Source organism: Homo sapiens, chromosome 13 (genome assembly GCF_000001405.40).
Source record: "Homo sapiens chromosome 13, GRCh38.p14 Primary Assembly".
Lineage (NCBI taxonomy): Eukaryota > Metazoa > Chordata > Mammalia > Primates > Hominidae > Homo > Homo sapiens.
Window position 1 is genome coordinate 36,865,511 of NC_000013.11, and position 14,674 is coordinate 36,880,184.

General features: G+C 41.3%; 1 protein-coding gene across 20 annotated transcripts in view, besides 1 other annotated feature; it reads right to left on the minus strand.

Annotated features, from left to right (window-relative positions):
- The window catches only part of SMAD9 (SMAD family member 9), a 76,024-nt gene that overhangs the window by 20,680 nt on the left and 40,670 nt on the right, over window positions 1-14,674 (minus strand). For 9 of the 20 annotated variants that reach the window (XM_006719827.4, NM_001127217.3, XM_047430354.1 and 6 more), the window contains 4 exons: window positions 13,768-14,365; window positions 7,148-7,405; window positions 1,763-1,873; window positions 27-248 (listed from right to left, as the gene is read on the minus strand). In XM_006719827.4, coding sequence (XP_006719890.1) covers window positions 27-248; window positions 1,763-1,873; window positions 7,148-7,405; window positions 13,768-14,179 — 1,003 coding nt within the window. In that variant the 5' untranslated portion in view covers window positions 14,180-14,365. The remainder of the gene's footprint in view (window positions 1-26; window positions 249-1,762; window positions 1,874-7,147; window positions 7,406-13,767; window positions 14,366-14,674) is intronic. The other 11 variants (NM_005905.6, XM_047430361.1, NM_001378621.1 and 8 more) reach the window with 3 other exon arrangements.
- Window positions 13,593-14,093: an enhancer, noted in NCBI's record as "H3K4me1 hESC enhancer chr13:37453240-37453740 (GRCh37/hg19 assembly coordinates)". NCBI's record gives its function as "activates a minimal SCP1, AML or CMV promoter by ChIP-STARR-seq in primed H9 embryonic stem cells {active_cell/tissue: H9 hESC(primed)}" and the evidence as "EXISTENCE:reporter gene assay evidence [ECO:0000049][PMID:30033119]".

Sequence of the window (14,674 nt, forward strand, 5' to 3'; positions counted from 1 at the left end):
TAAAGGAATAACATCTTTGCTCTTACCCTTTCCTATATGTCTCCTGGTATTTTCTATCGTTGAGTTTCTGTTTACATTAGAAAGAAGTCCAAGACAGAATCTGTTCCTGTTATTTGAAGGGTCGGTGAACCCATCTATGAGCACACTTCGGGAGGAAGCCTGGAATGTCTCCCCAACTCGGTTGTTCAGTTCATAGTAGGCGACCGAGCACCAGTGCTGGGGCTCCTCGTAACAAACTGGTCGAAAGTCTGGAAGAAAACAAACCAGAGAACACATGGCTACTGTCATACCTGGGCTGTGTAGTTCATGATTCCACCAGGAAACTTAGTTAATGCTTTTCACCAGAAAGTCGGCTGCAAGACCAAGCATGCCGCTCTGCAATCTTTTAGAACCTGTAGCTCTCATGGGAGCTGTTTGGGGCCGGCTCATTTCACTAGCACACCTGAGATGTAGAGCCCATGGTCCTTGTTCATCTTCCATGGCTAGAGCATTTATAAATGTGTATTGGTCATGAAGGGGCCAGGGAAAACATGACATGAACAGATGAACATAAAAAAACTGTCGGCCCTAAAGCAAGCACAGCTCAAAGGAAGCTGGCAGGTCACCTCTTCTTTCAGAAACATGTGAAAGATGGCATGTTGCTGTTACTGTGCCCACTTGAATCCTTGTGGCAAAAAGTATCATTTTCTAACAAACTAGAGATGGAAAACAATAGTTTGACTATGATAAAAAGCAAATCAATAATGCTGAATAGGACATTAAATTATTTAAGGAAAAAAAAAGCTTCCACATAGAGGGGCTCACATTCTGCTTTGTGGATATCTAGTTATGCATGGAAAAAAAAAAACATTTAAAGAGAGCTGGATATTTCATCAGGAAACCCATGGATGTTTTCACACCCAACATAAAGTTAAGTCACTTTCCTGTAACTAACCAAAGTTCAGAGTTCCTTCTTTCTTTGCCACTCACACCCTTTCTCTGCCTTTCTAGTGATTGTATTACCTTTCTCTTCCTTGAACATCCTTGTCATTCTTGCATCTAGAGTGTGTTCCTATATGCATTAAATATAAATTTATGAAACAGATAAATTTGGGGGTTATTATTTCTCTTACAAAAGGATCTTAGCTTATAAAATATTCACTTGGAGTATTTCAAATGGTACACTTCTTTAGAACCTCTCTACTCAAGATCTGGCTCATGGAACAGTAGCCTCCGCATTACAAGGAAGCTTAACAATGTAGATTCTTGGACCCCACCGTAAGATCTACAGAATAAAAATCTTCATTTATGCAAGATCACAACGTGGTTTATATGAACATTAAGGTCGAGCAACACTTATCTAGACTATTATAAGATGCAAATAAAATTTTGTAAAAACCTCATTTATGTATATTTCTAAGAGTACCTCTCTGGCCAACTGAAAGACACCACTATAAACATATAGTAAAAACACAAATAGAATAAAATCCCTAACTTCTTGAGTTCCCAACTCCATACTTAACATCAAGAACTACAAACTTCTAAATGCTGAGTTAAAATAAAAAGTTAACTTGTTCTAGTAATGATGATAAACAAAACATTAATTCTATTGTACTGAGGAATGTCAAAGTTAAAATGCAAAGCCATCCCATTTGCCTCTTAAAACACATGCAAAACAGCAGGCCAGTACATTTCTGGTTTTCTTTTTTGAGTTGCTTTGTTTGGGGGTAATAGGAAATACTTTTGGAAAATAGCTACATTTCACTGTTCATCTGCAATTTACCTCCATTTGGTATCGATAGCACTACATGTCTATCAGCTGTGGCATCTACAGGTTGGCCACTCTGGGTCTCAGAGGCTTCTGTGGCATGATAAGGCAGGGGTGGTGTGTCAACTAAAAGAAAGCAGTAGAACAAAGGAATTGTCAAATCGATAAACCACACAAAGACAGTTGGATCCGACATCTTTTGCCATTAAACTCCTGAGCTTGGTGGACAGTGCTACTCCTACAGAGAGACCATATTAATGTAACAAGGCTCTTCTGAAGTGACACTGTGAGTACCCTACAGAAGAAACTGGTTGTTCTGAGAGCCTCAGTAAAGGGTCAATTCATTTTCCCTCCGACTTTTGAGTTATCATTGAGTTCTAATGACTTCAGGGCAAGACTTTCAAATGCAGAACCTGTTCTCCTAGCTTTTCTCATAGCAGAATAGTCTGTGATCTGGCTTGCAAAACACAGAGAAAGCTAAACCTTCTTTGAAGTGAGCTTAATTTTCAGCTTCTATGTTGTCACAAATTGTACAATGGCCACGGGGACGCTCTATCCCTGAGATACTTCAAGATACCTGAAACGTAATTATAACCTTGTACCCAAGGCACGCTGAGAAGGGCCCTTCTACCCAAATGACAGTCCTGTGACTGGACAGTGATCATGGTTAGGCAAATGGGATGCATTCCGTGGATAATAATTCATAACACAGTAAAAACTCATGAGGCACAGGAAAAACTCTTTATGGAGGACCTCAGCACAAAACAACCAATTCCTTCAGTATGCATGTCTAATGTTAGTTCAGAATGGTCTTGTTAACATGCGTGGTGGAATACAACAGCGTAAAAGGTTGGATCAATCTGCCTTTGTTGTATCGAATTGTCCACACAAGTAGTTCTCACACTTAAGTGTACACAAAAATTGCCAGTGGAGCTTGCTAAAAATGCAGATTCCTGGCCCCATCCTTAGCAATTCCGATTCAATAGGTCAGTGGTTGAATGTAGCCATGTACATTTTAACATGCCCCAATGGCAATTCTAATGCAGGGTTCGTGGACCATACTAGGAAACCATGGGTAAGGTATTTCCTTGTGAGAAAATGGACTATGACTCCTATGACTTTGGTGAAAAAGTTATAAGGCAAGATGACCTTTTTGTAGGTCTTTGACTAAATATGTCTATTTACTCAAGAAGCAGAACAGGCTGAGCACAGTGGCTCACACCTGTAATCTTAGCATTTTGGAAGGCTGAAGTGGGAGGATCACCTGAGTCCAGGGGTTTGAGGCCAGCCTGGGCAACATGATGAGACCCCATCCTACCAAAAATTAAAAATTAGCTGGGCATGGTGGTGTACACCTGTAATCCTAGCTACTCAGAGGCTGAGGAGGATCACTTGAACCCAGGAGTTTGAAGTTACAGTGAGCTATGACTGTGCCCCCATACTCCAGCCTGGGTAACAAAACAAGGCCCTGTCTCTAAAAAATTAAAATTAAAAAAAGGGGGACTGAAAATAGAATTACCATATAATGTAGCACTTCCACTCCTAGGTATATACCCAAAGGAATTGAAAGCAGGGTGTTATTTACTAGAGCCAAAAGGTGGGAACAATCCAAATATCCAACAGCTAATGAATTGATTTTTTAAAATGTGGTATAGCCATACAATGAGATATCGTTCAGTCACAAAGATGAACTACCGATATATGCCACAACACAAACTGTGAAAATACTTGGCTAAGTGAAATAAAACATACACAAAGGGGCAAATATTGCATGAATCTAGTATATGAGGTACTTGCAATAGGCAAATTCAGAGAGACAGAAAGTAGATAGAGCTTACCAGGGGCTGGCAAAGTAGGGAAATACGGAGCTATTGTTAAATCAGTACGGAGTTTCCGTTTGGGGTGATGAAAAAATTTTTGAAAATAGATATGGTGATGGTTGCACAACATTATGAATGCACCTAATGCCATCAGATTGTACTTTTTTTTTTTTTTAATAGTCCTCACCAGGCTAGAGTGCAGTGGCACAATCTCAGCTCACTGCAGCCTCCGACTCCTGGATTCAAGCGATTCTCGTGCCTCAGTCTCCGGAGTAGCTGAATTACAGACATGCACCACCACGCCCAGCTAACTTTTGTATTTTTAGTAGAGACAGGGTTTCACCATGTTGGCCAGGCTGGTCTCAAACTGCTGACCTCAAGTGATCCGCCTGCCTAAGCCTCCCAAAGTGCTGGGATTACAGGCGGGAGCCACTGCACCCGGCTAGACTGTACTCTTAAAAATGGTTAAAATGGGCTGGGTGCAGTGGAGCATGCCTATAATCCCAGCACTTTCGGAGGCCGAGGCGGGTGGATCACCTGAGGTCAGGAGTTCATGACCAGCCTAACATGGTGAAACCCCGTCTCTACTAAATACAAAAAAATTAGCCGGGTGTGGTGGCACATGTCTGTAATCCGAGGTACTTGGAAGGCTGAGGCAGGAGAATGGCTTGTACCTGGGAGGTGGAGGTTGCAGTGAGCCGAGATTGTGCCATTGCACTCCAGCCTGGGCAACAAGAGCAAAACTCCATCTCAAAAAAAAAAAATGGTTAAACAAATTTTGTGTTAGATATATTTCACCACTACTTGAAAAAAATTAACATATGAGAAACCACTGAATTGTACATTTGAAATGGGTGGTTGTATGGTATGTGAATTATACCTCAATAGAGCTTTTTAAAAAATTTAGAGGCTGAACCAGTAAATCGCAAAGGTTCCTTTTACTCTTGTTTATCTACAGGTCTGTTACTCAGGTTGGCATTTTGCTGTTAATCATTCAGACAAGAATTATTTTCTTTGAAGTGAAAAGGGCTATGCCTTCTGTGAGAAACTAACCAGCTTCTGCATCACTGTTGGTGTCTGTCCTGCTTGGGTGGGAAGAGTAAAAAGAACATCAACCTGTCAGAGTAACCAGGGCAGGAATTCAAAGTCAGCACAGGAAGTCTTTGTAGCATAGAGGTGTGTTAGGTAAATATATATTTTGCAACACTATTATCCTCCTGTTCCTTAACCAAGGTTCTGTCCTCAAATGACTTCTCTTTCTGTTGTATTTCTTCTTTCTCAGTGAACTCAGCCACTTGCAAAACTTCAACCATCTGCTCCTACACTGAGTTAATGACTCTCAAGCTACCCTCCAGCATCTCTGCCTTCACCCTACAGTAAGTCCTGTTGGACCTCCCTCCCCCAATTCACTGCCCTCTTTCCAACCCCATATCCCTGTTTTAGTTCAACTCCTTATAATCACTTGCCTGGACTGCTACAGGCTACCTGTATGTGATGGCTCTCAATAGCTACTGACTCCTGAAGGTCAGAGACCACAGTAGTCCCCCCTTCTCCACCAGAGATACAGTCCGAGACCCCCAGTGGCTACCTGAAGTTGTGGCTAGTACAGAATACCACATATACTATGTTTTTTTTCCTATACATACCTGTGATAAAGTTTAATTTATAAATTAAACACAGTAAGAGATTAGGAACAGTAACTAATAATAAAGTAAAACAACTAGAACAATATGCCAGCATCACTACTCTTGCACTCTGTGGTCACTATTAAATCAGAGTGACCTCAACAGTAGATCTGATCACAGAGACAGCTACTAATTGACTCACAGGTGGATAGCATCTACAACGTGGATGCGCTGGGCAATGGAATGATTCAGAACCTGGATAGGATGGCACGAAGTTTCATCCCCACATACAATTTAAAATTTATGAACTGTTTATTTCTGGAATTTTCCATCCAGTATTTTCAGGCTGCAACTGACCTCTGGTAGCTGAAACCTCAGATAAGGGGGGACAACTACACCGTCTTAATCATCACTGCACCTCTAGCACTGGCCCAGTGCCAGACACTTAGCAGGTGCTCAGTCATCACTTACTGAGTCAATAAAACCTGTGCCTATGGTCTGGAGCTCCATGTCCATGTTCTAATGCCTGTGTGGGCTGGGTGCAGTGGCTCCTGCCTGTAATCTCAGCACTTTGGGAGGCCGAGGTGGGCAGATCACCTGAGGTCAGGAGTTCGAGACCAGCCTGGCCAACATGGTGAAACCCCGTCTCTACTAAAAATGCAAAAACTAGCTGGGCATGGTGGTACACCCCTGCAATCCCAGCTATTTGGGAGACTGAGGTGGGAGAATTGCTTGAACCTGGGAGGCAGAGACTGCAGTAAGCCAGGATCATGCCACTGCACTCCAACCTGGGTGACAGAGCAAGACTCCGTCTCAAAATAAAAAATAAAAAATAAAAATAAATAAACGCCTGTGTAGTAATTTATTTATTCAATAAGCAACTGATGAGCAACCACTGCATTTCAGGCTCTGTGCTAGACATAGAAAAAAGAAGGCTCGCTGTTCAATGGGGAAAATAGACACACAGGAATTATATAATATAGTGCAACAAATATAATAGATGCTTATGTAACTTGCTGAGGAGCAAAAGGAACTAAGTAACTGAGAGGTGAAGAGGCAATTCCCTCTTTATCTTCCCACATCGTAGGGACAATTTTTATTAACCTTTTAATTCCCCTTTCAGCAATCCTAAGGCAATGCTTGCATATAGTAAGAGTTTAATAAATATCCATTAAATAAATGATTATAGGAATAAATGAATGAGGCAGATTGTAACATCTGGCACCAAATGTATTTATGCATGCCTTTAGGAACTTGTCAGCTCCGCACAGTATTTATCTCACACTCACAAAGTGCATATGTATCTTTTATTCATTATCTCAACTTAGATCCACTTTACAGGTATGGTAGCAAGAGCAATTATGACAGCATGCTAGAGGCTCCCTTTCCCTTCCATATGCTTTCTCAATTCAGCAAACTGAAGAGCTCTATATTTAAGATGCTGTCCTGGCTTCACATGGCAGAAAGGGATAATGCACTGGCTGGAGCTGGGGCTTCACTTTCTGCCTCACTCAAAGGATGCAGGCATATGTTTTAGGCAAGGGCTTCCTTTGATTGTTGAAAGAGGCAACCAAGGTAAAGGCCTAGCATTGATCTTCCATGTTGCTTGTCCTCAGGCCAAGTCTTCTGCTTGGATTACAGAAGTCTTTTCATCTTATTTCTACTGCCTTAAAAAAAAAAATCCTTGGAAATTCCCAGGGATACTATTCAAATCCATTTAGTTTCTGAGAGCTTCCAGAGCATTAGAACTAAAACTAGAGGAAAAACATGTTCTATCTCCAGGGTAACTGCTTCAAAATAGGTATAGTCCTAATCATTTTAAGGCTGATTGCTTTGTAAACTGTTTATACTATATGAATGACAGTTACAATGACTGTCATTGTGACTGTTCATCATAAATCATGATGTTGGGCTTATTTTCCCGTATTTCCCCACAGACCATAGTTCTTACTGACCTGAGTGTTGATAGGGACTCTCTGGCTCAGAAGGACTTCCTGGGGAGTGAGGGTAGCTGGCCGTGCACGGGGACTGGGAGAACGCGTGGCTGGGTGAGGGAGGGAGTGCAGAGCACGGAGGCTGCTGGAAAGAGTCAGGATAGGTGGCGTTGTGTGGCATGAGTGGCTCACTGTGCAGGGAGGCGCTGCGGAACTTGGCCAGGAGGCTGAGCTGGGGGTTATATTCACTGTGTCTTGGCACGAGCACAGGAGGCAGTACTAGGATCAGAAAGGAACAAGGCAGTTAGAATTGAACATTGCTCATCAGTACACAACAGAGTGGATACTTGCTGTTCTTATCTATTTTTTGTTTATGATAGAGCTGTTTTTCCCCTTGGGAACTACTCCCATTAGTCTTTGTGCTCATCATAAAACTGTCGATTAAGTCCCCATCTCCACCTAAGAAGCAAGCATGTGAGTAAGCTAAGGTAACAGTCTTCTCCTTGTAACCGGAATCTTAAGCAGAATGTCATAATTCACAAAAGCATTTGGAGAAGGATCTTTCTAGTGTCAGCACTCTAAAGAGACCTGCTCTTTATTCCTACCTTGGAAATGACCAGAGCTGTCCTAATACCTGGCCTTCTGGCAACCTGATTGTTACGTCTTTCTTTAATTCTGCCAAATAAGTCTTTTTTTCCCCCAAGGCAAAATCAGTTTCTCTTGCTTGCAATGAAACCCTAAGTGATCCCCAGAATATTTTTCCTTCAGAGATCATGTTGAATTATTTAGATGACCAGACTCAATTTCAGGTTCAGTAGTGCCACTGAAATAAAAACATTCTATGTGTCCTTAATGGAAAGATTTCAAGGTGAGTAATTAAAAGTTATTAAGTAAAACACAAACGGTGAATAATAATAAAAGTGACTAAGTAAAAGATGAGCAGCAGCAGGGCACAGTGGCTCACGCCTGTAATACCAGCACTTTGAGAGGCCGAGGCAGCCAGATCACCTGAGATCAGGAGTTTGAGACCAGCCTAGCCAACGTGGTGAAACCCCGTCTCTATTAAAAATACAACAATTAGCCGGGTGTGGTGGCGGGCACCTGTAATCCCAGCTATTCAGGAGGCTGAGGCAGGAGAATCGCTTGAATCTGGGAGGTGGAAGTTGCAGTGAGCCGAGATCATACCATTGCACTCCAGCCTGGGTGACAAGAGTGAAACTCTGTCTCAAAAAAATAAAATAAGCAGCAATAACAAAACATAAATGATGTTTGTTCATTTACTATGCTTTTCTGGGTTTCATTTTTTAAAAAGAATGTTACTGTTCTTGATTCTGATTATACACAAAATTTCAGAATAAATTCAAATTCTTAAGGGCAAGCTTTGCCCAGGCCCTCACGTCCTACCGACTCCTAGAAGGTTACAATGCCTGGCATAAAGTAGCTACTCCAAAACTGTTGTTGAAGAGCCATCTGTGACCAACATAAGTTCCAGACAGGGAAGCAAAGAAAATACAAGGGGGAAGTGGTCTAAGAAATAACAAAGGAAAACCTCAAAGAGCTACAAAGGACCTACGTCTTCATGTTGAAAAGAGCCACAGAGTGTGCAGAGCTCAATTAATGAAGAAAAGATCCAGACCTAGTCTTTCCATCTTGAATTTCAAACACTGCGGGATAACTGGAATATTCCAAAAGCTCCTAGAGGATCACCGCAAAGTCACCTACAAAGAAATGAGAATCAACCGACCTCAACTTCCCACTCTAACCCTGGCTACTAGAAGTCAACAGACCAATGCCCTTCTGAGGACAAATAATTCTTACCCCCGAATTCCACAATGGAAACCACTGGAATAACCAAAAACAAATACAAACTATGAACTAAAATATAGATATCAAGGATGAGAAGAGGAGGAAGGAAGAAGATGAAAACATAAGTGAGTGAGGCTGGGCATGGTGGCTCACACCTGTAATCCCAGCACTTTGGAAGGCCAAGGCAGGTGGATCACGAGGTCAGGAGATCGAGACCATCCTGGCTAACACAGTGAAACCCCGTCTCTACTAAAAATACAAAAAATTAGCCGGGCGTGGTTGCGGGTGCCTGTAGTCCCAGCTACTTGGGGGGGCTGAGGTAGGAGAATGGCGTGAACCCAGGAGGCGGAGCTTGCAGTGAGCCAAGATCGCACCACTGCACTCCAGCCTGGGCAGAGCAAGACTCCGTCCCAAAAAAAAAAAAAAAAAAAAAAAAATACATATATATATATGTATATGTATGTATGTATGTATGTGAGTGAAATCCTCATCTTTTATGGTAGAGAGTCAATGACATTATCTAAAAGGTGATAAATTTGGAAATAGATATGTAAGCATATTATATATTATCTAGAGTTACTGTCATAATTCTTAGTAATAATAGAGAGAAATATGAAAGAACTAAGCAAGAATTATTTAGAAGAGTTTGTCTCCGGGTATAAATAGGACAGATCTTGGTTCTAATCACACCACTGATTTGTCAACCACAGGCAAGTATTAATAAAAACTCATAAAAAGTAAATGTTCTAAAACTGCTCTAAAAAATAAAGTCTTAAAAAAAGGTAAATGTTTTGGAATAAACAGACAATTACAATAACAATGACATTAACCCCGAAGTCTGCCATCTGCCTTTGACACCATACATCTATCTCTTTCTTAACAAACAATAATTTTCAGTTATATGGACAGAAAATAAACTAAGAAGGGTAAATAAAAGGTTTTAAACTAAAACTGCTACAGGTGAGGGTGGCAGAGAAACAAATAATTTCTTCCCCTTTTCTAAGCTATTGTATACGTATGCTGCCTTATGACACCAGAGAACAAACATTCAACATCACCATCAAACAGTGACATGGATCATAAACCATTAAATTCCCCTTAATGTATTCATATTCCACAACTATGCAGGAAAAAAAAAGATTATGTGCCTCATGAATAGTCTGAAGTGAGGAGTTGACACAGCGAATGTGTATGGCTTCTTTGTCAATGACCCTTCATCAAAATGTTAACGATGTTCAAGTAAACACTCACTTCTTTATGAAGAAGAATTTGAATCATCTCTGTGACTTCAGTTTTAATGTAAAATATCTACGGTATATTCCTAACACTGATAAAAATATAATGCCTCCTATCCATCTGAATGTAGAGACTTCTATTTCTTCATGGCCTGTAGATCTGAGGCACCAAGAGAAAAGAAAGGATACATTTCCCTTTATCATAACAACTATCTTGATAATATATTTTTACCATCTGGGTAAAATCAAAGCCAGTGGATGTTTGCAAAGAAAACTGATAGTTTCATCCTAGTTGTTATTTGACCTGACTGGCTCCGTTGCCTTAAATGTGCACTGATCATATTTTTAAATACTTTCACTCACAACACAGCTATCCCTAATTACTTAATTCCACTTCCACATCTCAACTGCTGCTTGTAAATATGACAGTGCGCTTACAGACACTCATGCCTATCTTATGCCACTTTTAAACACCATGCTATCTTTACATCTCAGTGTCACACGGGGGGAGACAGCGGAAGGAGTTACAGGGCACATGGGCATGCAAAGCAGAGCTGGAAAAAAAACACTTCTGTCTTTTTAAAAAAAGTCATGTGGTTTTGATATAATATGAATATTTTATATAAAAAAGAAATTACACTCCTGAAATAACCTCCAGCCAAATGGAGTAAAATCATCATGTACCACAACAACAGTCTTGCATGGCTTCCACCAGAACTGTGCCAGGTAAAGTGTGTCTGAGGACTGGGGACCCTTCACCAACTGTTGGGTACGAGTCTGTGAAGAAATTAGTACTTAGAAACTTTTCACAGCAATTTGACAGAGTTTCTAGTTTACACTTGTTTAAATAATTTTTAAAATTGGGCTTATATTTTCTAAGTCTTTTTAAAATTTCATTTGCCTAGTAATTTGTCTGTACTATAAAAGTGTTCGTTTGAAGGACTGGAAATTAAAAAAATAAAAACTGATCCCTCACCACACATAACTTGGAAAGCACTGAAGTCAATTATTGAAGTGGATGTGTGAATGAAAAGAAAATGGGAATGCAGCCTTCAATGTATCTAAAATGGATGGCTAAAAAATGAGATTTCAAAGGCAAAACTTAAGCTTTATGATAAATAGGAACTCAGCAAACTTGTTTAACATTAACATTTTTATTATTCCTAAAATATTTACTTTAAATATGGATAGCTAACTAGATATAAAATCTACTTTTTCTATTAAAAAAACACAAGTAAGAAAAACCTCTGTAACTTAAATATTACCTTAAATTAATATAATCGTTACCCATCTTTCCTTCTGGAAATTCACACCTAAATTATGATAAAATGAAATATATTTACCATATGTAAAACACTCACACTATCATTCCTAAAAGAATCTTACAGAACATGAAAAACTAAAGGCCAGGTATGGTGGCTCATGCCTGTAATCCCAGCACTTTGGGAGGACGAGGCAGGTGGATCATGAGGTCAAGAGATCGAGACCATCCTGGCCAACATGGTGAAACCCCGTCTCTACTAAAAATACAAAAAGTAGCTGGGCATGGTGGCACGTGCCTGTAGTCCCAGCTACTCAGGAGGCTGAGGCAGGAGAATCGCTTGAACTGGGGAGGTGACGGTTGCAGTGAGCAGAGACTGCGCCACTGCACACCGGCCTGCCAACAGAGCAAGACAAAAAAACAAAAGACATGAAAAACTAAAATGTCAAATAGTTCTTTAAAATTAGGCTTTTGAATATTCAAAAGGAAAACCAGGTACATTTTACAAGATATTTCTTACAAGTTGTTAAATTTTACAACTACATTATTCAGGAAGACAGAAATGATTTATTAATGAACATTTTTCCATTTGGATATATTTTGGATGCTTAATGTAATTCAAATCTTTGAAACACAAAATGGAATCCAGTCATTTTTGTTATAAGCTTAGACATTATTGACTTTTTTTTTTAAGTAAGCGAAAAGAGTCAAAATGAACCAGGGAAGAAGGGTGGAAAGCAACTCGCTCCAGGATTTAGGGGAAACGCATCAGATTTGCCAAGCATGTGGAACCTTCTAATACCTTCTCAGCCAGGGCCTCAGTCCCTGAATGGGCTGTGGGAGGCATCCACACACAGGTAGATGTTAAGTTCTGGGAGCTTGAAGGATCACTTAGCTAAGACTGAGGTAGGCTGGGCATAAATCACTTATTGGATACTGTTTTAAGGTTAAGTGAACCTGCCTACGTAGACAGGACCATCTCTTCACTGGACATGGGCAATTTCCCTGAGCTAATGTGCCAGCGCTTTGGTTTCCTGGGATGAGGCAGATGGCCAAAGAGAGAAAGCTCTCCTAAAACTGTGTTCTTGTGTGAAATGCCACAGAAACACTCAATCTAAGAGAATCACAGTGAAACCCTGTTATAGCCAGTGTGAAGGAACAAAGACAAACACCAGGCTTCTCCAAGAGGAGGAGGAAATATATACATATTTCTTACACACATATATATAATATACATACACACACACACACACACAGGGGTGTGAAGGGTTTTAGAAAGATACTTTCCTATACAATCATGCACTGTGTAATCATGTTTTGCTTGAGGGACCAATATAAGACAGTGGTCCCCCAAGATTATGATACTGTACTTTTGCTGTACCTCTTCTATGTTTAGATCTGTTCATATACATTCAATACCATTGTGGTTAGGATTGCCTACAGTATTTAGTACAGTAGCATGCTGTGCAGGTTAGTAGCCTAGGAGCAATAGGCTACACCATATAGCCTAACGGTGTAGCAGGCTCATGGTTTGTGTAAGTACACTCCAGGGTGTTCACACAAGGAAGAAATTACTTACTGATGCATTTCTCAGAATGTATTTCCATCATTAAGTGATACCTGTCTGTACTTAAAACCATTTTTAAAAATAACTGCCTGGAATGATTTCCAGCAACTCTTTCATTGGCTGTTTTCAGACCTAGACATGAGATATCTTCTACTTACCTGAACTTGAACAAAGTAGCAGCCAAAAACCCTGCCTTAGTTCAGTTTAGTACAGTTCAGTTCAGTTGTTTGGGGCGGGGGGAGGAGGATGTTTAATTTTTACAGCTCATCATTATCAAGGCCATTTTAAAACCTTTCAGGACCCCAAGAACTGGTAAAAGATTATGTTGACTTGTCCCAGATACCTCAAAATAAAACTTTTATGGCAGTTTTCTCCGATTAGCCATCTGCCTCATTTTCAAAATCACACAAAGCTTACCAGCATAATGAAATCAAATGAAAATATCTTCTTTCTAGATTTTCCTGACTAGTTTATCTTCATTCCTTCACACTGGCTATAACAGGGTTTTACTGCGATTCTCTTTGGATTGAGTGTTCCTGTGGCATTCCAGGCAGGAATATCGTTTTCATGGGAACTTTCTTTGATTGGACAGCTGCCTCATTCCGGGAAACAAAATTTTGGACGAGTCCCTCAAAACTGAACCTCCCTCTCCTCTCTTCTCTCTCTCTCTTTTGGGAGAGGTCCCTGTCTGCTGGTGCCCCATCATTCTCCATCAATGGGGCACACGACCTTCACTCTGAAAATAAACCTTGACGTCGTAAAGACGACCCACCTGGAGTCTCCACCCGGCGGTAGTGGTAAGGGTTAATGCACACTTCTTTCTGCTTGGAGCCAAATGGGAACTCACAGCACTCCAGCGGCTTCAGCTCGTGGTGGGACTGCAGATCCGGCCAGCGCCACACGCGACAGTAAATCACATGGGGCAGGCCCTTGCGGTGGGACACCTGCAGCCGCCCGTCCAGGGAGCGGGGAATCGTGACGCATTTGCTGGGCTGCCCCGGGCAGCTGAGAGCCCTCTCCAGCTCGTCCATGGCTCCCTTCTTCTTCTTTAACTTCTTCACTAGAGAGTCCACTGCCTTCTCTGCCCACTTTTCCTCTTCATCTCCTTGCTTCCAGCCTAGCAGTCTCTTCACTGCGGGGCTGGTGAAGGAGAAGAGGGAGCTGATGGGGGTGGTGGAGTGCATAAGAGGCCACAGCAGGCTCCGGCGCGCACGGGAACCGCACAGCCCTTCACGGCAAAGTGGGCGGCGAGTAGCTCTCCAGGGGTGGCATAGGGACCAACCCGCCCGTTCTTCTGGGAGCAGCTGGGACCAATTCAAGTTGCGAAGTGTGTTGACTTTCTCCTAAGCCCTTGAACAGGGTGGCCAACTCTGGAAAACACGACAAGACTTCAATTAGCTTAATCGGAGTAACATTCAGAAAAAGTTGAAGTTGGATAGAAAGAGGCAATCTACACCTACAGTCCCAGCTACTCAAGTGGGTGAATGGCTCGAGCCCAGGAGGTCAAGGCTGCGCCACTGCACTCCAGCCTGAGCAACAGAACCAGGCCCCAAAGTTGGATAGAAGGGAAAAAACATTCTTCAAATGTTTTAATTTTAAAACTGTTGTCTTTGACTCTGCCCTCTCCTGTATTTCCTATATCCAGGTCTCAGGTCATTCTGCCCTCAAAGTCTTTGGAG